General features: G+C 36.3%; 1 protein-coding gene and 1 pseudogene across 3 annotated transcripts in view; one reads left to right on the top strand and one right to left on the bottom strand.

Moving 5' to 3' along the window:
• MMP26 (matrix metallopeptidase 26) overlaps positions 1 to 24,741 on the top strand; it is a 287,646-nt gene that overhangs the window by 261,647 nt on the left and 1,258 nt on the right. The window contains exons 1-4 of one of the 3 annotated variants that reach the window (XM_011520219.3): positions 21,638 to 21,880; positions 22,689 to 22,915; positions 23,218 to 23,438; positions 24,168 to 24,316. In XM_011520219.3, the coding sequence (XP_011518521.1) occupies positions 23,329 to 23,438; positions 24,168 to 24,316 (259 nt within the window). In that variant the 5' untranslated portion in view covers positions 21,638 to 21,880; positions 22,689 to 22,915; positions 23,218 to 23,328. Of the gene's footprint in view, positions 1 to 21,637; positions 21,881 to 22,688; positions 22,916 to 23,217; positions 23,439 to 24,167; positions 24,317 to 24,741 lie in introns of those variants that run through there. The other 2 variants (NM_021801.5, NM_001384608.1) reach the window with 2 other exon arrangements.
• On the bottom strand, positions 6,501 to 7,466 carry OR51A5P (olfactory receptor family 51 subfamily A member 5 pseudogene; annotated as a pseudogene).

Below are 24,741 nucleotides of genomic sequence, written 5' to 3' on the forward strand. Positions count from 1 at the left end.
GCCTGATTCGATATCTCCAGTGATTAGATATGGAGGGTGAATGGCTCTGGTTAAACTGATTTAGCAAGATTCTTGCTAAATTGAACAATACAGAGATAAACACAGAAATCCTAAAGTTGAGGCTAGCTAAGAAGAGAGTTCAGAGATGGCTGAGTAGAACTTGGTCAAGGTGAGACTCTCTGTCATCAACCCTCTTGTTCAAGGAAATAAGAGAGATTCTTCTTTAGTGTGAACAACGTTAGTTCATTTTCTTAGTCGTCTTTTTTTCATCAAGGAAACGCTGTCTTATCTGTTACGATGTTAGTCCATTTTGTTCATTAAGGACAAGCTATCTTATCTGTTGAGACTTTGTAGTCAAGGATATTTGCTGGATGGTGCAAGCTGTCAGGCCTTTAATGAAGGGAATTCCTGTGAAAGCTTTTTTAAAAGATTGATAGTTGAAACTCTCAGAGGGCAGCTAGTAGGGATTTCTACCTGTTGAGCTCAATGTATCTTTAGATGGTGGAGTGAGGATGGCAGTGGCAATATGACTAAAGGTTTTGTTTGCATTTGCAAGGCCTCTAGTGATAGTGTCAGGTGATTTGGTAAATTTCTGAGTGGTTCACACACCAGCAGGCAAGAAGATATACTTTGAAGTTTATAACAAGTTGTCCAGCTTCAGCTTAAAAGGTTTGGTGAAAGGATAGTTTTATTCTCAGTAATGCCAAGTCAGAAGGGTAGAAGAAAAATTGGAAATATTAATTGGGAGAGTTGTAGTCAGATTTTAGAAGAAAGTAAAAGTGGTACTCAATAAGGGAGTACTGTAATTTCCCAGTGAAACAAAATTACTCTTTATATTCAGCTCTCTTTACAATTCTTAATCACAAAAAAGTCTGGTCTCATTAGATTTGGCTTAATTATTTATGTAAGTGCAGCAAGAATCGCAATTAACTGCAAAGGCCTTATACGTTTTCTTTACCGAAACTTTTCATAAGAATCTCAAATTTGATTTTAAATATTCTTTCAAGGCCAAGAAGCCAAGCCAAGAACTTACCACCAAAGTTCATTTGCAATACCTAGAGATTTGTGTGAATTTATTCTCTTCTTGAGGTCCCCAAGATATTCTGAGGTTCCTGTACCTACCAGAAAGGGAACTTCTTTACTGGGAACGGTGTAAGCCAGGTGTCAGGCTGTTTTTTTCCTAGAAGGCTTTATTAAGCTTTGGCTTCATAAAGTCAACCTTGCTTCCTTATATTTGATTCTAAGTACATCATTCTCAAACATAATATTGTAACCAAAACTTTGATAATAAAATCAGTTTTTTCAATGGTGTCCTGTTACAGATTCTTTTTGAACTTATCTGATAACTATTTTACAAAGATATAAGAATAGTCAATAAAAGTTTCCAAATTTTGAAGGGATCAGGTAGGGAGAAAAGAAAAATGTTTCATATTTGTTTACAGCACATAATCTACTAAATTTCTGTAACTTACATATTGCTTGAGAGAAAAGGGAAAGGGGATTCTTTTATTCAGAAAATAGGACATTGAAAGAATCAGCAGTGTTTCAAAACAAAACCCCTAATTATTCTTTATGAGTTCATTCAGTCCCATGTAATATATTTTGTTTTGCTTGGTTTTATGTTAGCAGTTTCATGAATCCATTCAGTTCTAAAGATCCAATAAGAGTTAGCTTGACAAGATATTTGGTTGCTTCTGTGACACCCAACAAAAATAATACCTGGAATTACTGCTGATAGCATTATATTAGAGCATACCGTAAACAGAAAAATAATTCACAAATTTCTATTAACTTTATATGATTGCTGAAATAATAACATTTTGACAATACAAATATAACCTAGGAAAGGTTAATTATCTTTTTTATTTGACAATGTTTCCATGAAATTTAGCAAGCAAAATAAACCAAATTATTTTTTAACTTTTCTCTACATGGTGAAAGAACAAATCCTTTGAGAGTTTTCAGAGGCCCTCTGGGAAATCTCAAGATCAATTCAAGAACAAGAAGATTTCATTTAGGATTTGATTTTGGAAAGGCAACATTTTCAAAAATAAAAAAAAAGAGTTATTTTAAAAGTGTGAAGACTTGATTCTCTTAAATAATTATTTTCTTAAAATAATCTCTTAAATAGTCTTTATCATAGCATAAATAGCATAAAATGTAGCAAACTATTCTGATAAGACACAGAACTTTGGTTTTCTAGTAGATTACTAAAAAGGTATAGAAAAACACTTTTACAATTTCTTATTAAGAGCAGACAAATAATCCATGAAAGTTTGTCATTTTTGTCTTGCATCTGTATAATTTTGACATTAAAGATAATTAATAAAAATAAATAAATCCACTTACATATTTAGTCAACTTGACCACACATAAAATTCCTCTTTACAAGCAATCTATACCTTTGAAAAATATCCATGTGAGTTTTCATTTCCTCATTCAGGAATACCCAGTCATACTTTAGAATGAAATTACTTTAGAATACAATTACCTTTTTCTTTCCTAAACAACATCATATCTTTCATACTTCATACTTTTTCTTCTTGAAAACACACTGGACTTTCCTTAAATGTTTTTTAAACAGAGTTGTTTTCCTTATTATTTAAGTAGTTTTGTCCACATACATTGATTATAACTTTTAACCATCAGTTTCTTTCTTTACAGAGAAAACTATAACAGAAAATAGACAAATGTGAATTGTCATAAGCCCAGATTCGGTAACAGGATTGCAAATTTATTAATACATAATTTCACAATTTCTAGAGGCATATACTTACTCATAGAACAATTTTTCAATGTGACAAAAACGTTTATTAATGAACTCAAGTATAAGTAACTCATATAAAACATATAACAATAAGATGCCAAAAGAGTGTAAACTTAAACTTATGCTTAGTAATGAATATTGTACTAGTTTATCTTATTAGAAATGACCTAGATACTTAACAAATATCTATTATTAATGAAACTTAGCCTAACATTAAGGTTGCAAGTTACTAAAATATTCTGGAAATTATTTCAAGGTAAACATAACACCAAACAAAGCTAGCCATTATCTCATATCTCAAGTAATTTACCTGTTAACCCTTTTTATATGACAGGCATGTTAGGTAAACATTACAAAAGTAGAAACCTAAAAAGTTAGATACATTTTTGTTTATTTTTGTTTGTTTGTTTTACTGCTGTGCTTGACATACATAAAGTATTTATATTAAACAATTAATTTTAACTGCATCTTTACTCATGCACATGTTCCTAGGTTGAATAATTTTCATAATTTTAAACATCCAGTAGATATACTATTACCTTACTCAACTTTTAAACCCAAGTAAAGTAAAATATGCTTTTTATTATGTTTAATGCTGATAACTCAGAAGATACAAGGGTTTTTATTAAGCAAACGTTATTAAACTAGGCTCACTTGCCAAAGATACGCCTATGTCAAGTAAATTTGAAAATAATTTTGTTTAGTTTTTTCCTAGGAATTTTAGGAATATTTCATTTACAGGCACTCACTAATCTGCATGCCAATTTGAATAAAGCTCCTTTAAGGTATTTTATAAACTAATTTGGTAATACTATTCAGAAGTAGAAAAATATTGCATCTACATAACATGTTTACATGAATGCATAAACACACAGACGAGCCACAGAGATCTTATACGTTTCATTTTAAAATTCTTAGCTATGAGTTAGTAAAGCATAGTAATACAAAAAACTCACTGGTTTATATAAAGTAGTTCTTATCTTTAATACAATTTATATTTCTGTCCAAACAGTATTTTTGACAAAAATGGAATAAATTGAGGTTACTGACTCAATAAGGTCTAAATCTTTTTTTAAACCAGTATTTATGGGGAATTCTTATGATTTTCTTTTGTTCTGATATATAATCTGACAGAAGCTGTGGGCTACCTTTTAGGCAAGTGCCTGAGGAAACATCAAGCAGCAATCTGGCTGTTTCCAAAGCTCCTCTGAGTGGATAAAATATCCAGTCTATTTTCAGTTAACCCTTTCCCCCTCTTTCTGCCTCAGATGATTGCTGTTTGGGGTTCCTGAGCACCTTGAAAGCTCTTGATGTGTACAGGGAGTTCAAGTGAGTATAGAGAGGTGAGCCACTTAAGCTGAGGTTTATTGTGGAGGCTGTGGTGAGGCTATTCTGGGGATGGAGGTGCCAGGTGGGCCAGTCATCAGTCTCCTTAGGGGCAAGTGCTAGTGCACAGCAGTTCCTTCTTGGTATTAAGTAAGGTTGTTTTTAGTGGTGCTGGTGAGACCAAATGGTCTGTCCTTGAACCCTTGGGAGTGCATTTCTGGTGGTGGCTATGGCAGTGGCAGACCCAGGAAAGATTGTCCTCAGGTCATCAGGCATTGTGCACCGGTGCCAGTGGTGGTGATATCAGCAAAGGCCCTAGATGGGCTGATTCTCAGGCCCCGCAGGGGCTTATGGTGCTGGTGCCACCCTGCTTTCAAAATGGTGCCATGATGCAACAGCATGCGGCCTGGGGTGAAGGGAGTGAATAGACCTGGTGGAGCACACAGTCGGCAAATATTCAAGAAGGGAATTTCAATTGACTGAGAAATTCCCATTAGGAAAAGAAGAATCAAATGGAAGTAATAAAACGTTCTCACAAACCATCATGAAAAAAATTCCAGCTCACAAATCAGGAAATAAATTTTAATCAAAATAAGGATCCAGGAAGAACACATACCCCAAAAGTTGAGGAATAATCCCCACTCAAGACAGAGCCAGGAAGAAAGACTTCCAGCCCAGCAGTTACCTGTCAAAGAGAGAAGCCTGAACTTGGGCCTCTAACTCAGTTTCTGCTTACCTGGGATTGTAGCACAGCTTCTTGAGTACACACAAAACCTTAAGAATCAAATCTGTCCTTACTATCATTCAACAGGCTGTCAAAAGTGTGTACACAGGGTCCTAAGTGAAAAGTCTGGGGGTCCAGTGATACATGTGATCCTGAGTCATGGCACCTCAAACATTAAAGAAAAAATTACTTATGATGCTTAAAGAACAGTAAGAAAAACTTTATTAACAGAGAGTAACGTGATATGTATAGGAGCTTGTTGTAGGGAGAGGGATTGGGCTCAACTCTAAATGAACAGTGAAAAGTAAGAATGTATGGAAAAGGAGTAAGGTTGGGGACATAGGTTACTAAGTAGAAAATTATTAAAAGGAAACATCAAGAGTAGGGAAGATTTTGGCTTAGTCTGTTTTGTGTTGCTGTAAAGGAAAATGTCTCAGTCTAGGTACTTTATAGCAAAATGGGTTTATTTGGCTCACAGTTCTGCAGACTGTACAAGAAACATGACACCAATATCTGGTTCTGGCGAGATCCTCAGAAAGCCTCTACTCATTGGTGGAAGGGGAAAGGGAGAAGGTATCACAGGCAAGAGGAAGGAAGCAAGATAAAACGAAAGAGGAAGAAGTAGCCAGGCTCTTTTTTTAACAGCCAGATCTCACAGGAACATAGAGTGAGAACTCACTCAATCCTGCAAGAATGGTACCACGCCCTTCATGAGGGATTCACCCACATGACACAAACAACTCCACACTAGGCCCCATCTCCAACATTGGGGATTAAATTTTAATATGAGATCAGGAGGGGACAAATGTCCAAAGCATGTAATTGACCTAACAGGATTCTTGCTATCAGCAAGCCAGAATTATCACATATCAAGTGGGAATGGTAGAATATGAGGAAATCAATTAAACATCTAGAGTAACCAGATATGGAGGGGAAGGGGCTTTGGTTAAACTGACCTAGCATGACTCTTGCTAAAATCGAACAATATGGAGATAAATATGAAAATCAAGGCCAAGTTGAGAACACAGTTCAGAGGAACCTGGGTAGAGGAGATAGTCTTTGTCATTAGGTAGAATTCCCATTGAAATGTCAAAGACAGGAATCTGTCACCTTAGAAAATGACATTTCATGTTAAGGAAGGAGATATTGAATTAAATAAAATGAGTAAATAAAGCATTGTTTATTTTATTTTTATATTTTTCATGTATGCATGTTAGTTTTTTTGAATAGTTTCATGTTCAAGAGTGTTATTGCCCATCTTAATTTCAATTCCTGAGAACAAGCACATATCTCAAAGATGTCAAAAATATGTGCTGAAAATAAGTACTTTAAATAAAGAGGTAGTCTTTGGTCACCTCTGATCACTGCCCAGTTATCATGTAAGTGTATACCATTAATTTTCAAATTAACATAGACAATATTATTTTAATCATTATGAAAATGACAAGAATACATTGTGTTCATAGGAGTGGTAAGGGAAACTGCATAAGAGTGAAACCTGGGAATACATTTTATTTACATAAGAGTCCCAAGCCTGAATACTGAACCAACAGATTTGCAAGTTTGATTCTTTAATCCTAATGAACAGATTGAGAAATTATATTGTAAAGTGATTAACATAGTATGTTTTCTTATTGATCTATTCTGCTTGTTTTCTTGACTTTGGGTTAAGCATCATGTGGTTAAGCATCCGCTTCAGCTTTGCTTCTGGCACAGTTTTTCTAAGACAAGATTTCTTATCTGCTGGCTCTTCACACAGTATACAATGGGGTTCATCAATGGAGGCACCAGCAGAAAAGCATCAGCTATGAGGATCCTAGTGATTGGGAAACTGTGTTTGGCAAACCGGTAGATGACAGCTAGGGAGATAATGGGCACATAGAAGATGAGCACAGCACAGATGTGGGAAACACATGTATTGAGGACCTTGAGCCTTTTCTTTCATGATGCTATGCTCAACACTGCTTTCAGTATCAACATGTAGGACATGAAAATAAATGTCAAGTCTAGGATGCCTGTGAGAGCCACAAATAAGCCATAGATGATGTTGACCTTGTTGTCAGTGCAGGCCAGTTTCATGACATCTTGATGGAGGCAGTAGGATTGGGACAGGAGGTTCTTCTTACAATATTTTAGATGTTTTAGAGTGAAAGGAAATGGGAGGATCAACAAAACATTTTTGAGAGAAAAAGCAAGCCCAATTTGAATGACTCTGGCACTGGTGAGGATGGAAGTGTATCTCAGGGGGTTGCAGATGGCAATAAAGCGATCAAAGGACATTATAAGAAGTACAGATGACTCCATAGCTGAGAATCCATGGATGAAAAACTCTTGAGCAATACAGGCATCAGGGGAAATTCCTGGAGCATTGAACAGGAAAATCCTTAACATGGTAGGGAGAGAGGAGAGGGATAGTCCCAGGTCAGAGAGAGCCAACATGGAGAGAAAATAGTACATGGGCTCATGCAAAGAAGGCTCTGTTTTTATGAAAAACAGAATGGTACAATTCCCTAGGATAGCAACAGTGTACATGAGACATATGGGGATAGAGATCCAAATATTGGCATGCTCCAAACCTGGGATCCCAACCAAGTAGAAAATAGAGATTTCCATTTCAGAGGTATTGAGAATGGACATCCCAGTATTTGAGGGAAAAGATGAGAAGCTCATAAGAGGTTTTCTGTAGAGGTATAAGTAGATCGGCTCAAATGCCTGGCTCTATCCTATTGAACTCATTGAGGTCTTACAACACCAGGTATATAGACATAATTCTTAGACACAAACCTAAAAGGAGAAATAGATAGGTAGACTCAACTAGAAACAAAAAACCGAGAAAAAATAATGCAAATTGATATCAAAATCTAATCTTAAAATAGATACAGATTATAACAGGTACAAGTCCTATACAAGGACTACTGATCAACTGAGATAATTATACAGGCGAACATTATCCAACTCAAAGACTTGAAACTTTTGCTTTTTAATATAACGTTGCAATATATGTCCTGCTTATAAATTTGTTTAAAATTTCTGTCATAAAAATTCAGCTGAAAAAAAAGGTCTAAAATTTTGTTAAAAATTTGTAAGATTTTTTAAAAGTTCAAAACATTTACATAAAATTCAAAAAAAAATATATGTATATAGTGTCTTCGTTGTAAACATGGATTTTCTTTTCCTTTCCTCGAATCTTTTATATCTCTCAAAAATACGTTGTCATTCTTTATAGAGGATTTTACAAAATTTATTTTTAGATCATTATGATTTTATTGCTATTCTTTACAGAATCATTCATCCTCTATTATTTTCTGTTTTTCTTAGTGATTACTGATTGCTTAGAGGAACAATATAAAATTTTGTTGTCAAAATCTACCATCCCATGCTGTTCTTTCTCTTTTTGTCTGTTTCCTCACTACCATAGATTTCGGAGTGCCTTTGCATCATCTTCTTAACTCTGTATACACCTTTGTAAAGAAATCCTAGGAAGGATTTTTATGTGGTACATGTACGCCACAGAATATTATACAGCCATAAAAGGAACGACATCATGTCCTTTGCAGGGACATGGATGGGGCTGGAAGCCATTATCCTCAGCAAACTGACACAGGAACAGAAAACCAAACACCGCATGTTCTCACTTATAAGTGGGAGCTGAACAAAGAGAACACATGGACACAGGGAGAGGAACAACACACACTGGGGCCTGTCAGGGGTTGAGGTGGGGGGAGGGAGAGTATTAGGAGAAATAGCTAATGCATGCTGGGCTTAATACCTAGGTGATGGGTTGATAGGTGCAGCAAACCACCCTGGCACAAGTTTACCTATGTGACAAACCTGCATGTCCTGCACATGTACCCCAGAACTTAAAATGAAATAACATTTTTTAAAAATGCCTAGGACGTTCTGGATTTAATAAGAAATTACATGCAAACAAACAAACAAAACACAAGAAAAAAATCAGGCAAGTGTTAAGATAATATTTACCTAGAGTTTGGAAGATCCTCACGCAAAATCAGAGGAGGGCAATGTATAAATTTTTATTACTGTGGCTAATACCAGTATGATGGCTGTCTGCTTTAAACACTAATCCAGGTGTGTCAAGTGGTCCAACTACCAACTGAAGGCTTTTTGTGCCTGTTAGGCCTAGTGTCCTCCAACTCCCAAGTCTTGCTTCTGATATTAATCTGAAAAGAGTGAGATTAAGTCTTCAGTGGAAAACTGAAGATTTATTCTATCAGGGCTTGTAAGATTGTTATTTGCTTATTTATTCCATATGGCTGAATAGAGTTATTGGAAGTTCTTTCCTGCCAGGACGGAGGTTCAAAGTGTATTTAATGTTAAAATTGTTAAGGTAAGTGAATCGTTTGAGAAGAATGTGCACCTTTCGCTGCTTGAGATCATTCTGCATGGCTTTTGTATGAAACACAGCCAGTTCAGGCTTCACTGCCTCAACCTTCTCTGTCACTGACTTCATCTCCCCTCCATGCTGTTCCTCCTGTGGATGTATGGAGATACGGTTCCTCTTTTGATTTCCTCCCAAATGTTCTCTAGCGAACATTCTCCCAAAACTTTGTGTTGCCAAGATGTTGGTATTGTTTTTGACATACAGTAACTGCTTTAATAGCTCTGCATCATTTAATCAACGTACACTTTTTAAAATCTGAGTTTTAAATCCCTCCATATTCAACCCAGCTAATAACTTTGAGCTTATACCAGCCCTCTTAATAGGATTAAAAAGTACTTCGTAATCAGTGAGGAAAAGTAGGGTATAAAAATCTCTTTCTTTAGAAAATGCTATGGCTTTCTGGAAGATTATTTTATTTTGCTTTAAAAGATGTTACTTTTAGAGACTCTAGAGGAACTAGAACATTGCACAGATAGGATTGTCCAGTATTCTGTCTTTGGCTCAGAAATGCCTACTCAACTAAATTGTCTAGTTTATAAAAATGCAAAAAAGTTGAAGTAACAGATACAGAATGTCTTTTTAAAATGAAGTTAAAATAAAGTTCAGTATTTATATGAAAGTTGTTAAATAAGGTTATCATGTTCTTTATATTAATAGGATAATGATGTTTGTATAATAATGTTGTCAGGATGGTGTTATGCAGATTGTCAAACCTTGAGTATATGTTGACATGGAAGCAAGTATTAAATGGTAAAATCATAACAGCTTATTAAGGATAAAATACCCATCTTAATGCTCTTGATTAATGAGACTTGCAATTAGAACATCAGGATTTTCAGGTACTTACCAAGATCATGCTTAGTCCATACTTCAAGGTAAGAAGGAGCTGAACCCAGGATAAAGCCACTCAAATCCCGGCTATTAGGCCCATGTATTGATCTTGATGGTCTGACTCTAGCCCTTCTACCTTGGTGCCTTTTTAGTGGAACAAAGGCCTCTGAGGATGACACCTCAGGAAGCAAGACCCAGAGGGATTAAAAAGCCCACAGGTCTTTTCTTTACACAGATGAGACCTTAAATAAGAGTGGACTCAAACAGAATCAGCTGAATTGCTATACTGCATGTAAATTAGCCATTGAAGGTTAACATCCTATGAGACCTATTCTTCTTTATTCAACAGAATTGATTGCTCTTTCGCCTGCAGTTATAGGTTCTTCTGGAGAAGTGTTCACAATTTATTTTCCTAAGTCATTATGTTTGTGCCACTGTGAGTTTTCAGATTCACTTTTGCTACTTGCTTATACATGCAATTTTTATCTTATAAAATGAAAGTCGTTATTCTGCTCATGTTTAAGAGCACCTGAATTTATTTTTAGAGGCCAGTCTATATACCCTTTGTTCATTTTTTAAATTTTATCTATTAGTCTGAGTACTTCCTATATTAAATAAATGTATTTTTACTGTTACTTAAAGATTTCTTGCTCTTGTGTTACTCATATTTGTCTTTGATAATGATGTTGTTGCACGTTGAAATCCCTTTGAAATAAACATTGAGCTAAACATTTGTGTGCAGAAGTTTATTGGGAGTGTTTCTATGTTAAACAGCTATGAGGGAAAAAAGGAAATGGAACTAGTGGAAAGAGAAATTAAATTCCATTCAATTGTTAGAAAAGCTATATTTAATCTTGAAGAGATCTCTAGGGCTAAAATGATCCCACTTCAGAATTGTCCTGAATTGGAGGAAAGGTCTGGGCCTTTTTAACAACCTATTGACGGGCCATTGGATGTAGTCTTTAAATGGGAGGGGTCATGACTTTGGATAAAGTGGTTCCATTCAGAAGAAAGAAATTCTCAAGAAGGACTCAAATGTGACCTGTCAGCTATAACACTCTCACTAGAGGAATGAGTGCTTCAGTTCTGGCAGAATAAGAACATCCAGGAGATTCACTGAGCATCAGCTGCAGTTCAACCGTTGCACACTTTCACCAAAAAACTTCAGTAATAAATTCTGGAAGCAGCTTTTTCAGAATTCATATAGGCCTTTTTTGTCCATTCAGAAGCGACAGGTGAACTGTTAGTGGGATGACTCAAAGTCCCCTACACTGCAGCTGTCTTGAGGCTCCAACTGTTATATACTATCCCTCTCCTCTACTATCTAGCTTAGATTCCTGTACCCTTAGCTAGAACTTCATCCTTGGCCACCATAAACTTCTCAAACTGTGGCTTTTGTATTTGTGCATTGATATGGTAGGCTTTGTGTCCCCACCCAAATCTCATCTTAAATTGAGGTGTCCAGGTGTCCAGGTGTCCAGGGAAAGACCTGGTGGGAGGTGACTGGATCATGGGGATGGTTCCCCCATGTTGTTTTTATGATAGTGAGTGAGTTCTCATGAGATCTCATGGTTTTATAAGGAGCTCTTCCGCCTTCACTTTCTTCACTTACTCTTGCCTGCCACCATGTAGGATGTGCCTTTGCTTCTTTGTTGCCTTCTGCCATTATTGTAAGTTTCCCAAGGCCTCCCCAGCCATGCAGAATAGTGAGTCAATTAAACCTCTTTCGTTTATAAATTAATCAGTCCCAGGTATCTCTTTACAGTAGTGCAAAAATGGACAAAGACATCCATTTAGCATCAAAACAGGGCAAGAAGTGTCAAGGGATGCCCAGGGATCACCTAACAGTAAGCATATTCTTACTTGGCCACATCAAGTGTCAGCACTTCTAACTCATTCTGATTATTAAAGTAATTATTTTCTTTGCTTACTGGTATCTTAGAATGACATGATGCCATCTCTAATAGTTTAATAAAATTATGTCTTTTGGTACAATATTTTTACCTCTAGAATCAGGATCTCTAAACCAACAGTGCCCAGCACAGTGGGAATAAAACACAGGTTCTCAGAGTGGGTAAATGGAAGCGATGTTTAGTAATGACAACACTGTTTTTTCCTTCATAATAAAAATGTTTTCCTCATATTAAAAAAATTAACACAATGGATATTGATTTAGTTTGCATACTGTGTCCTGGAAGATATGGCCACATTGTCTCACGTATCATCACTTAACTGACACTTCAGATTAGTGTAATTTCATTACTTTGTCAGACTAGCAGCAGTTTCAGAAAGAACAAAAGGATTACGTTGTTAGGGTCCTACCTTCTCCTATTTTCCCAACGCCAGGTCATAAATTAGGAATAATTTGCAGCATAAACAGATGGTGAGGTGTTGGGTCTGATAAGAGAAGAAAAGGACTATACCCTAAAGAAGTTACGAGAATAAGATAGAATCTACCAGCAAGATATGACAAAGTAAGCATGATACATTGAGCTTGCTTAGTCCAAGAGGTTAGAAAATGAAATTATATAGGAAAGAGTATATGACTTGTGAGTCCTGTCACAAAATATAGAATTTAATATCCAGCTAAAACCTTCAGACATGAAACAAACATTTTGTGGAAATTGCTCCCAGAAGCATGTAGAAAGGGGCATCCATAGGAGCAAAATAATGGGCAGCAACAACAGTGATACTTGGCTTGCATCCACACAGGAAATCAAAGATGGATAACCATGAAGCTGAGAGCAGTTGCTTCACAGAGAATTTGCGAGCCCTTGCCAAGATTCCAGATCTGAATTCGTTCAGACTGCAAACCAATGATTGAATAAATCCCCAGGTTGGTTATTTTAACACCATTATACACATTATACTGATTTCCCTGGTCCTCCAAAGGGATTGACAGTCACTTGTTTGAGTAACTACACTGGTGAAAAATGAACATCGTGTCATTTTTAGGACTGTTGGATGCAGGATCTGAATTGGCACTGATACCTCTAATGTATAATTGAGACTGATGTATTTGGTAGTGGCTCAATCCTTAGTTTAATGAGTCAGAGCTTTTATAGTGAGAAAGACCAAACAGAGTTCTATGAAATTGCCTCCAAATGTCTGGGGCTAATAAGTTAATTCCAAAACAAATACCATACCCCAGGGTGGCTGATGAAACTTAGCATCACAGTCCCTAACTTATCTCCTTTTAATGCACTTGTGTGGTCTCTGCAGACTCCAGCTATACCTTGGAAAATGACTGTAGACTGCTGGAAGTTCAACCAACTAGTAGTTACAACCACTGGACAGATTTCTTAGATTCATTAGCCTTAGGTACATGACAGGCATTCATTTGATAAATACTTTTATTCTATCCCACGCAGAAAACAATAATTTAAAAAATCAGAAATAATTCATGTTTATATGGAACAGAGAGCAATTCACATTTACAGTTTTGCCCCGGTGTTATGTTAATTCTCATACCCTCTGTCATGATATAGACTTAATGTATTAAGAGTTCAATATTTGTGAAAGGGAAGGGGAAAAAGCAGAATTTCACAGAAAGAAAAGTAAAAGTATAATACAGGACTGATAAAACTTTGGCCAATCCAGGCTAAAGCTGTGGACTGAGTATTGCCCAGTAGAATAATCCCCAGAGAGGATTATTCCAGCTCCATTACCTGGCTTTTTTGCATGTTTTATGACAGTTTTTCTTTTTCCTGAGTATCAGGGTCAGTTACCCTTGAAAATATGAGTAGTCCTCTTCCGGCCATTTGGTTTCTGAGTATAAAGACACCAAAGTTTCCAGATGATAGCTGTAGTTTATTTATGGAAAAAGTGTACCTCCTTTCGAAACCAGTGAATTTAACATGACAAGAGTCCACAGTTGTGAGGGCAGAAGACACCACATCTTCCATGACCCATGTATGTTTTCTTTTGGGGTAACATTACATGAAGGTCTTTTATACAATGTATATATTGAACACTTGACTGCAAGCAAAGAACAAAATATAGGGATGGAAAACAAAATAAAACATAAAATATGAAAAAATTTAAATTTAAGGAGATTACTAAGACAAGATAATGCAAAAGGAAAAGTAAACTAATGAAAAACCCAACGAAATAGTGAAAGCTGTGCAAATAAAATGGATATGCAAAAATTCTGTGCTATTTATATTCCCATAGTCATAGAATTATACATGTTATTTCTTGAAAATATGAAGAAATTATTTGAAGAAAAATATGAAAGATTACTTTGTGGTGACAAAATAATATAAACAATTTTTAAGTAAAAATATAGTTCATTGAAGGAAGTATTTGTGGACATTAATATCCTCATTTTCCTAAGTGAAGGGTGAAGAAATATTATTTGTATCTGTTTTAATGAGAAGTACAATGATAATATTGTTTAGAAGCTTAGCATACACAATGAAGAAAATAAAATCATAACATAAACATATTAAGAAGGACAGGACTTAAGGGGCTTTCAGTTAAGGTGAATTCTTATTTATATGACAATAGATATTATCTAAAACTGCAAATCAATAAATAACAATATAAACATATTAGTTAAGTAGCTGAATGTTATTACTGGAAAAACTTATAAAAGAAGAAATTTAAACAACTCAAAATTGCTTCCTTTAGAGAGTGTACTGAAGATGGCAAAGGAGAGTCAAGGAACTGTTGTTTCTTTTCTCACATTTTTGTACTGTTTGATTTTTAAAAATATAAGCATGTATAATTTTTATAAAACATATAGGTGTGTTTGTGTGCATACCTGTGTGTATGTCATACAACGCTTAATGATAGAGATACTCATTCTGAGAAATGCATTGTCATGAGAACATCGTAGAGTGTATTTACACAAACCGAGATGGCATAGCTAAAGTATATGCTATAGCCTATTGTTCCTAGGTTACAAACCCATGCAGCATGCTATTGTACTAAATACTATAGACAATTGTAACACAATAGTAAATATCTGTATATCCAAACATAAATAATGTATGGTAAAAACACAACATAAAAGATTAAAAATGCTACACTTTGGTAGGGCACTTACTATAAAAGGAGCATGTGGGCCTAGAGGTTGCTCTGGGTGAGTCAGGGAGTGATTGGTGAGTGAATGTACACTACTGTACACTTAGGCTACCCTAAATTTAGCTTAAAACTTTCTTATTTAATAATAAATTAACCTATCTTCTTATAACTTTTTTATTTACAAACTTCAATTTTTTAAACTTTTGAATCTTTTGTAACAGCACTTAGCTTAAACACAACCACATTGTATAACTGTAAAAAATTTTTTCTTTATATCCTTATTCTATAAGCTTTTTATACTTTTAAGTTTTTTTCTTTTTTTTCTTTTTTAAACTTTTTGTTAGAAACTAATACATAAACACTACATTGCCTAGGCCTACACAGGCTCAGGATCATCAATATCATTGTCTTACACCTCCATATCTTGTCCCACTGGAAGGTCTTCAGGGTGCATGGAGTTGTCATCTCCTATAACAACAATTCCTTCTTCTGAAATACCTCCTGACTGACCTGCCTGAAGTTGTTTTGCAGTTAACTTTACATATATATGTATGTATGTATATATATATATACACACAATATACATACATACATATATACAATATACATACACATATAAACATATACATATATATTGAGTACACTCTGAATGATAAAATTTTAGTGTAGTAAATACATACACCAATAACAGTTGTTTATTATCTTTATCAGGAATTATATACTGTATATAATTGTATGTGCTATACTTCTGTAGGATTGGTGGTGAAGTCAGTTTCTTTATATCAGCATTATCAGAAATGCAATGTGTTATGACGTTACGACAGCTACAATGTCACTACATGATAGGAATTTCCAGCTTCATTACAATCTTATGGGAGCACCATGCTAATGTGGTCCATTATTGAATAACACTGTTATGTGGCACATGACTATACATGTTTACGTCTGCCTGTATGAAAGTTAAAAATTGCAGGCTCTGGCAATTGTAAAGTCTCTAAATTTCGACAAATTACTCAACTCCCTGAGTCTTAATTCCCTAATTTGTAAAATAAAAGTTGTTCATGTAATTAAATGACATAATTCATACAAATAGCACTTAACAATCAGTAAAAGTTGGTTACTCTTATAATTACTATTTTGATAAGTAGTATACTTATCTGAATAAACACCAGTATAAATACATATTTACAAGAGGTAAAGGGTATAAAATATTTACATGACTTTTAAATCCCTACGGGATCCATTTCTTACTTCACTCTCTGTTCTTATCTGTATGAAAGAGGTTTGCTCAGGCAAAACCTATACTCTAATCAAAAGAAATGACCTGAGGTTCTAGGCTTTTTCCCAGCGTTCCTACAACATTGTTGAAATGTGTAAGGTCCAGGTTACATCACCTCCTCTATTTACCTCCTCATAGAAATCCATGTGGGTTAAGATCTCACTCCAATTAGCCACTAGCAAAGCTTGTATAGGTTTTTATTCTGAGGCTTATTACTGTCTCACAATTCTATGTTTATTTAATAGACCATTCTATGAGACGGTAAACTAACTTAAAGCAGGCTTTGTGTCTTAATAGCCTTTGCACACCAGTAATATGCCATTCTCTCAGTTGAATAAATAAATTGCAAATGCAAAATAGTTTCAGGAGAGAAAATATACACTTTCTATGATGATCACTAAATGACTGTGTGGTTCTGTGCTGTACTGGGGCATCGATGGCTCCTTGCAGCCTGCCCAGCCCCATGGTTCTTATCTCATTACCCTCTATGCTCTCTATTGGTAATCCTTCTCTTAGCATTAGCTCAAACTATGGTATTGCGGTGAAAGCATTTGTTCTCTGTCAAAATGAATTAGATATTGAATCTTCTCCAGAAGAGCTGCCAGTGTCATGACAATGGCATCAATTTTCCAATGCCCCACAAACTCTCCCTGCACCCACTCTTTACCTGAGTAACAGAAAAAGTGGCCGTGCAGTCTGATATCTTCAAAATTACGTTTTCTCATTTCTTCCAGAAGGAGATGGGAAACAATTCAAAATCTGCTAGGAGAGGTCCTAGGCACAGGCCAGATGTTTATACCCAGCAGATCAAATACTATAGCCATAATGAGAAAGATGAAAGCATAGATGGGGGTGAGAGGAGAGATAGGGGCCTGTTTCCATAGTTCTGATTTTAAAAATAATATATAAAATCTGGTATCCATTATTAAAACTTTCTGGTTAAATTCACAGGTCTTTTGTTCCTTACATTGCCAATATCTTCTGCCTCATAACTACTTAAAAAGTTTGATTTTGGATCAGCAGCATTGGCATCACCTAGGATCTTGTTAGAAATTTAGAATATTAGGCTTATTCAAGACCTGTTGAATTAGAATCTGCATTTTTATTAATATCCACAGGCGATTCTATGCATATTACATTTTGAGAAACACTGTTGTGCTTTCAACACATTACTTCCCTTATCAGCAGCTGAATCGTTAATAAGTCACTCATTTGCTTTCTTAGTTAAGCTGGCTCTCAGCAGTCAGCACTCATGTATTTGAGTGCTGGGTCAGGCTTACAGATGGCTGCTCATCTGTGCCGGCCCTATCGGATTGCATGGGGCATACTGGGAGTTCCAGGAGCAGCATTAGAGAGGTGCGTGTCAAGATGAAAGACGGGGCAGTCTCATCAAAAGTGGCAATCCAGGCCAGTGATCAAAGATTCTGCCTTCAGAATAAAATACTCTTTATTTATAACTTCTATACATAACTTTGAGCATTGTGACCCCCCAAAATGACAATTAAATGACCTCAAAGCCTCATTTCCTTAACTATAAGATGAATACTATAAAACACCTACTTCACAGGTAGTTGTGTTGATGAAGAAAGTGCATTCTTGGCACAGCGTATGCGCTCAATAAGTTGTTATAATGATCACTTGTCCTGTGTTGAGCGATCTGAATTATATGCTCGTATGTATCAATAGTTTGTTAAGTATTCACTCACTTCTGATTTCATTACCAGCTATGAGATTTTTTTTACTGAACACTTTTATTAATTTAATGAATAATGGGTTCCTTCCAAGTTCCAAAGTCTGTGCTACAGATATTAATGCAACTTGACGTCGCTGTCATTAATGAGCCTACAGTGTCATTTATGGGCCTGGAAAATATGAGGGCTTCTTTATATTTCATTTTTTTCAATTTGTTAGTAAATTTGTCAATTGACAAATATAAATTGTGTATAGTTATTGTGTACAACAGAATATTTTGAAATTTCAGGAGGGTTTCATTTATTAACATTTCTGCAACAGAATTTCAAGAATACATCAGAGTGATTGAGGAACCATGCTCTATGGGGGTTCTCTGGTCACCTTCTTTCAATGGGATAGAGAGATTTAACCTGATTTTTAACCATCCTAGAGAAGTCTATGTTCAGAACACCGGAGAAAGTGTGAGAGACTTAGAGGATTTTTTTTTATTTTTGCTTCTTTCAAAACTACTATAGATTTTGAATAAGTTTTAGTCATTTTCACCTTGTTTCTTTCATTGTGATTCCACTGAGCTTAGGTTTTTGAATGTATTCAGGCCATAGAAACATCAAAGATATGTCGATGATATTATTGATGGAGATCTGCCAGCAGTGATAAGCAGCATGCCTCATTTAATACATAATCTGACTTAAAACTTAGTCAGATATAGATGTAAATATCAATATTTTATCATTTCCATGGAAAGAGTTTTATATTCCCCAAACCCTAGTTTATTAATCTTTGAAATGAGAATATAATAAGGTCTATATCACCATGAGATTTTAGTGAACAAACTCATAATTTACAAAGTTGATAGAGGTTATCAGGAATAACAATCTCTATACCATATTTGTCTAACAACAAACATCATTGTTTCCATAGGCAGTCTTAAATCCATCTTGCCTTTTTCAGATTAACCATATTCTCTTTTCCAAGTATATCACATATATCTTATTTTATTAATTCCTCTGGTTGACATTCCATTATTTACCCATGTCTTTAGCACATAACGTTCTTCTTTTAGAACATTAACTGGGATATAGCACTCGCATTACAATATCATCCACAAAATGATTATTTATATGCTCATTTGACCACATACATTACCATTTATATTACAGTTCTATATTCCTCATGGTGAAATGGGTGCCGCTTTTGGTACCTTATTAATCTATATTTTTATTTTCTTAATTCATTGAAATTGTATTTATTTTTGTAGAGGTTTAATGGTATGATATATGAATCTTAAGTGTACAGCTTAGTGAGTTTCAAAAAGTGAATATATTTGTATTACCCAGATATCAGTCAAGAAATAGACATTTCATTCCTGGATAAATTTCTATTGTGCTCCTTTACCAACAATCCCCTCCATGACAGAGGCAACCACTATACTCATTGCTTTCTGCAAAATTAGCTTTCCTTGTTCTTGAGCCTCAAATAGGATTACCATTTGGTTTCCCATGTCTTTAATTCAACATGTTTTTAATGTTGTCTATTCTGTTGCCTGCTGCTGTTGAGTAGTAACCATCTATCTATCTCTCATCTATCTGTTGACCTCCCTCCACATATATATCATGTTGTTTAATCCTGTTGATGAAGTATTTCGTTAATAGATTTGAAGCGAATTTTCTCTATTCATTAATAGTGTGACTTTGGCATGTTCTTTCACCTCTTTGAGTCTCATTTTTTTTAACCTATAAAATTTTTATACTATATTTTAATCTATACCAAAGGTTTAAAACACAGAATTGCCTTATAATAAGCCCTCAATAATTGTGTATTTTTAACAAATTCTTTCATTATCTTCCATTTTAATTCTTTTATTTTTATTTTTTTATTTTTTCTTGGAGATAGGATCTCACTCTGTTGTCAAGGCTAGAATGCAGTGGCATGATCATGGATCACTACAGCCAAGACCTCCCAGGCTCAAATGATCCTCCCACCTCAGCCTCCTGAGTAGCTGGGACAAGTGAGCACCACCATGCCCAGTCGATTTTTTTTTTTTTTTTTTTTTTTTTTTTTTTTTTTTTGAGACAGAATCTCACTCTGTTTCCCAGGCTGGAGTGCAGTGGCATGATCTCGGCTCACTGCAACCTCCGCCTTCTGGGTTCAAGTGATTCTCCTGCCTCAGCCTCCCAAGTAGCTGGGATTACAGGGGCCTGTCACCATGCTGGGCTAATTTTTTTGTATTTTTAGTAGAGACGGGGTTTCACTATGTTGGCCGGGCTGGTCTTGAACTCCTGACCTCAGGTGATCCGCCCACCTCAGCCTCCCAAAGTGCAGGGATTACAGGAGTGAGCCACTGCGCCTGGCCTAGTTGAACAGCTTTTAAGTAGCAGAGTTAGGACTCATTTCCAGAGTTCTGTGACTTCCTTCCTTCCTTCCTTTCTCTCTCTCTCTCTCTCTCTCTCTCCCTCTCTCTCTCTCTCTCTCTCTCTCTCCCTCTCTCTCTCTCTCTTTCTTTCTTTCTTAGATGGAGTTTCGCTCTTGTTGCCCAGGCTGGAGTGCACGTGCCACATGCTCGGCTACTTTTTTGTATTTTTAGTAGACATGGAGTTTCACCACGTTGGTCAGGCTGGTCTCAAACTCCTGACCTCAGGTGATCCATCCTCCTCAGCCTCCCAAAGTGCTGGGATTACAGGTGTGAGCCACTGCACCCAGCCGAGTCGTGTGATTTCTAAGGTAATAGCTGAAATATTTTGCTGTGAGATATATATGTATATGTATCTATACATATACATAAACATGTACATCTATAGACGTGTGCGTGTCAACTTATTATCAATGCTTTGTTTTCTTCAACATATAGCTATTAACTACCTCTTTCTGTGTTTTTCTAGATCTCTTTTACATAGGTCTTGGAGATTTTTTTTGTTTTGTTTTTTGTGGTTTTTTTTTGTTTTTTGTTTTTTGTTTTTGAGACGGAGTCTCCCTCTGTCGCCCAGGCTGGAGTGCAGTGGCGCGATCTCGGCTCACTGCAAGCTCCGCCTCCCGGGTTCACGCCATTCTCCTGCCTCAGCCTCCCGAGTAGCTGGGACTACAGGCGCCCACCACCACACCCGGCTAATTTTGTGTGTTTTTAGTAGAGACGGGGTTTCACCGTGTTAGCCAGGATGGTCTCGATCTCCTGACTTGTGATCTGCCCTCCTCGGCCTCCCAAAGTGCTGGGATTACAGGCGTGAGCCATCGTGCCAGGCCAGGTCTTGGAGATTTTCATACTCTGATCTGGATCTTTATTACAGCAGACATTATTTATTTCCCTTGATTTTATTCTTTTTTCTCTTTTTAGCTTCTGGAGCAAGATTGAATGTCTCTGACTGGTAATTATTCTATAGATAAAGCTGTAATGAGTTTCGACACACCTCCTGTTTCTTGTTTTCCCCCCTATTTTAAAAAATGATGCCCCCTATATTCTGAGACTGACCTGTATTTCCTTAACCAGGCCTGTGGCCCGGGATGCTGAGGACCATCAGGTGTGAACTGAGCTTAAAAATAAATTCCATGGCTGCTTTTGTCACCCTTGCATGCTGGTCACTCTGCCCTCAGCAGGTATGGATGATGACGCCACTCACAGATTCAAAGAAAGGGCAAACTGGCAGAGTGAGTCATTGGATGTTGCTGGCACAGCTATAAAGATCCAGTGGCCCAAGTTGTGTACCTGAATTCAAGCAGTGGGACAAATGAGGGTTTGGCATGCAGCTCGTCATCTTAAGAGTTACTATCTTCTTGCCCTGGTGTTTCGCCGTTCCAGTGCCCCCTGCTGCAGACCATAAAGGATGGGACTTTGTTGAGGTAGGTGAACGACTCAGGACCACATTATTACATGGTGACCATTGTGGGCTCTTATTTCGTGTGTGTGTGTATGTGTGACTGCATGGTATAATGATAAATACACACATTAATATTACACATGAAAACATTTTATTCTATCTATGTGTTCATTTTTCTCTTCTAATTTTAAGAAAAAAATTAATTTTTTGTAGCCCCTAAAAGTGTTTTTGGGCCCTAGGCACTGTGCCTTCTGTGCCTAATTCAGCCCCATTGCTCATCTCTCACTTTCTTAGTCTTCTATATGGCATAGAGTGAACACTCCAGTATATAGGTCTCTGATCTATATACTGGAGTGAGAGATCAAGGGAAATCATTCAAATAAATTAATGGGACCTTCACATTGACTGAGTAATCTCCCAGTCGGTCTACCACACACTTTCAATTTCTAAAAAAATTATGAATTTGCTCCAAACTTTTAAGCATCCAAAATACCTAAAAAATGTTATAACTGGTTGCAGTCATGTATTTTGTAATTGTATAGGAACCTAGTCAAATTTCCTGCTAATGTTTAGTCCAGAACAATACAATAAGTCATTTGCCTCTTAGTGCCCAGCTCAGCTGATAATAAAACAAAGGCATAAAAATGCAGTCATATAATTTAAAAAAAACAGTCAATAGGTTTACGTCAAGTACTCATAAGAACTGTGGAATAATAGATCAAGCTGTATCAGACATGAGCATTGCCCTTAAAGTATTTTGAGTCCAGCTAGCATTCAAATACAGACAGAGAAAGCCTAATTACAATACAATGTGCTTTTTTTGTATTTAGAAGTTTACATTTAATACACTAGACTGGCAGAAAAATCAGTGGAGACAAGGAATAGGTAAACAACGGGCTCTTTAAAAGTAACTTAATGAAATGGAAGTAAATGCAAATGAAATGGGGAATGCAGAACCAGCCAAATTTTATGTCCTGGAGTGATTGATTGTATCCTGATTAAGAAAACCTCCATCAGTCAGAAAGACCAGAGGCCATCTTCCCCGGGGAATTCCCAGGTAATATCTTCCTGTCGTTTATACTTGGGTTTCTCCATCCTAAAACTTGGAAGCTTTTTCTTTTAAAAAAATGTTATAGTTTATCCATGTTATTTTTATTCTGTCACTTCTCATTCATATCATTTCACTGTGGCATAAAGAATCAGGGATGGCTGCCATCATCTGACTGAGAACAGGAGACTTAGGAAGGCCAGACTAAGTACCGTCCTTCTGAGACCCTCAAAGAAGGCTATGCCCAGGGTAACTGATATATGGGTCTTCCCTATTGACTCTTAGTACTCATCCTTCTTGATCTGATTCAGGGCTATTTCCATCAATTTTTCCTGACCAAGAAGGAGTCGCCACTCCTTACCCAGGAGACACAAACACAGCTCCTGCAACAATTCCATCGGAATGGGACAGACCTACTTGACATGCAGATGCATGCTCTGCTACACCAGCCCCACTGTGGGGTGCCTGATGGGTCCGACACCTCCATCTCGCCAGGAAGATGCAAGTGGAATAAGCACACTCTAACTTACAGGTGCTTGTTACTAAGGCCTAGAGGATAATGTGTGGGGTGATGACCTCAAAGGGCTTTCTACCAGGTCTCTCCTGGAGGTACCTCTACTCTCTTCTGCTTTCATTGGCAGCCCGCTCAAAGCCCAAAATCTCCCTCAGAGAAGGTAATACTACCAGATCCTTTTCTAGCTTCCTCTAACCATCTCTTTAGAAAGTAGAGAGCATAACCACTATCCTTTCCCTTTGTTAAATCTTTTCTTTTTAATTTTAATGCGTGAGTGTGTGGATGGTTCTAAGGTACAATTTTGAAAACTTAATTTCTGCCTAGGTTACTCTTTCTGTTGGGGATTCTAAATATACTTGAGATATCTAAAGCAAGCAGTACTAAATTATGTAGAATGCTATACATTTTAATTTATGTAGAATGCTGTATATTTAATTTAATTTAATTTTGTTCACATTGTTTTATTTACTTATTTTTCCCCAACCACCAGATAGGACTGTCATTCTTAGACTTTAGCTGACCTAAGAATAATTTGGGATATTGTTAAAATTCTTAGAAATCTATATTTGCATGTTTAATTCCTTAAGTTTCTGATTTAATTAGTCTGAAATTAGCTCAACTTTATAAATAACCAAAATGAGTCCTAAAACTATTAAATGATTCTCCCCAAAGTAGAATTATTCATGTTTAGAGCTAGGATAATTCCCATTCCTCTGAACTATTTCATTTAGAGATTGCTTTCCTCAGGATTATCAATTACCCACATGATATGAAGCCATCCGCAGTGAAAGACAGTATATATAATGCAGTTTCCATCTGGAGCAATGTGACCCCTTTGATATTCCAGCAAGTGCAGAATGGAGATGCAGACATCAAGGTTTCTTTCTGGCAGTGGGGTAAGAAATTGACATGGGAAGAAGGATATGTATATGCCCTGTGTAAAGGACAAAGGGTTTCCATCCTTAAACAAAAACCTAGCCCCCCTATTAAAGTTTCTGAGAAAAAAAGTCTGACAAAACCCTACTGCAAAGCAAATCCTGTAATAGGGAAGACATTTTTAGTAAAATGAAGCAATAAATAAAGAAGAGGTGTTGGCTGCAGTGTGAATATGGTGGGGGTACTGCACATTTTCCTTCCAAAAAGACGATGCATAGCTCCGAAATCTATTGAAATGCTATTCAAAGTTGAACCAACTTACTTATAAAAACTTTCTGAGTTTAAATTCTCTTTCCCTTTTCCCCTACCATTTTGAAAAGAGGTTATCATTATTATTGTTGTCTAACTTGTAAGCTTTACTCAGTGTCTGCCATCTGTCTGTCTT

This window comes from Homo sapiens, chromosome 11 (assembly GCF_000001405.40).
Source record: "Homo sapiens chromosome 11, GRCh38.p14 Primary Assembly".
Lineage (NCBI taxonomy): Eukaryota > Metazoa > Chordata > Mammalia > Primates > Hominidae > Homo > Homo sapiens.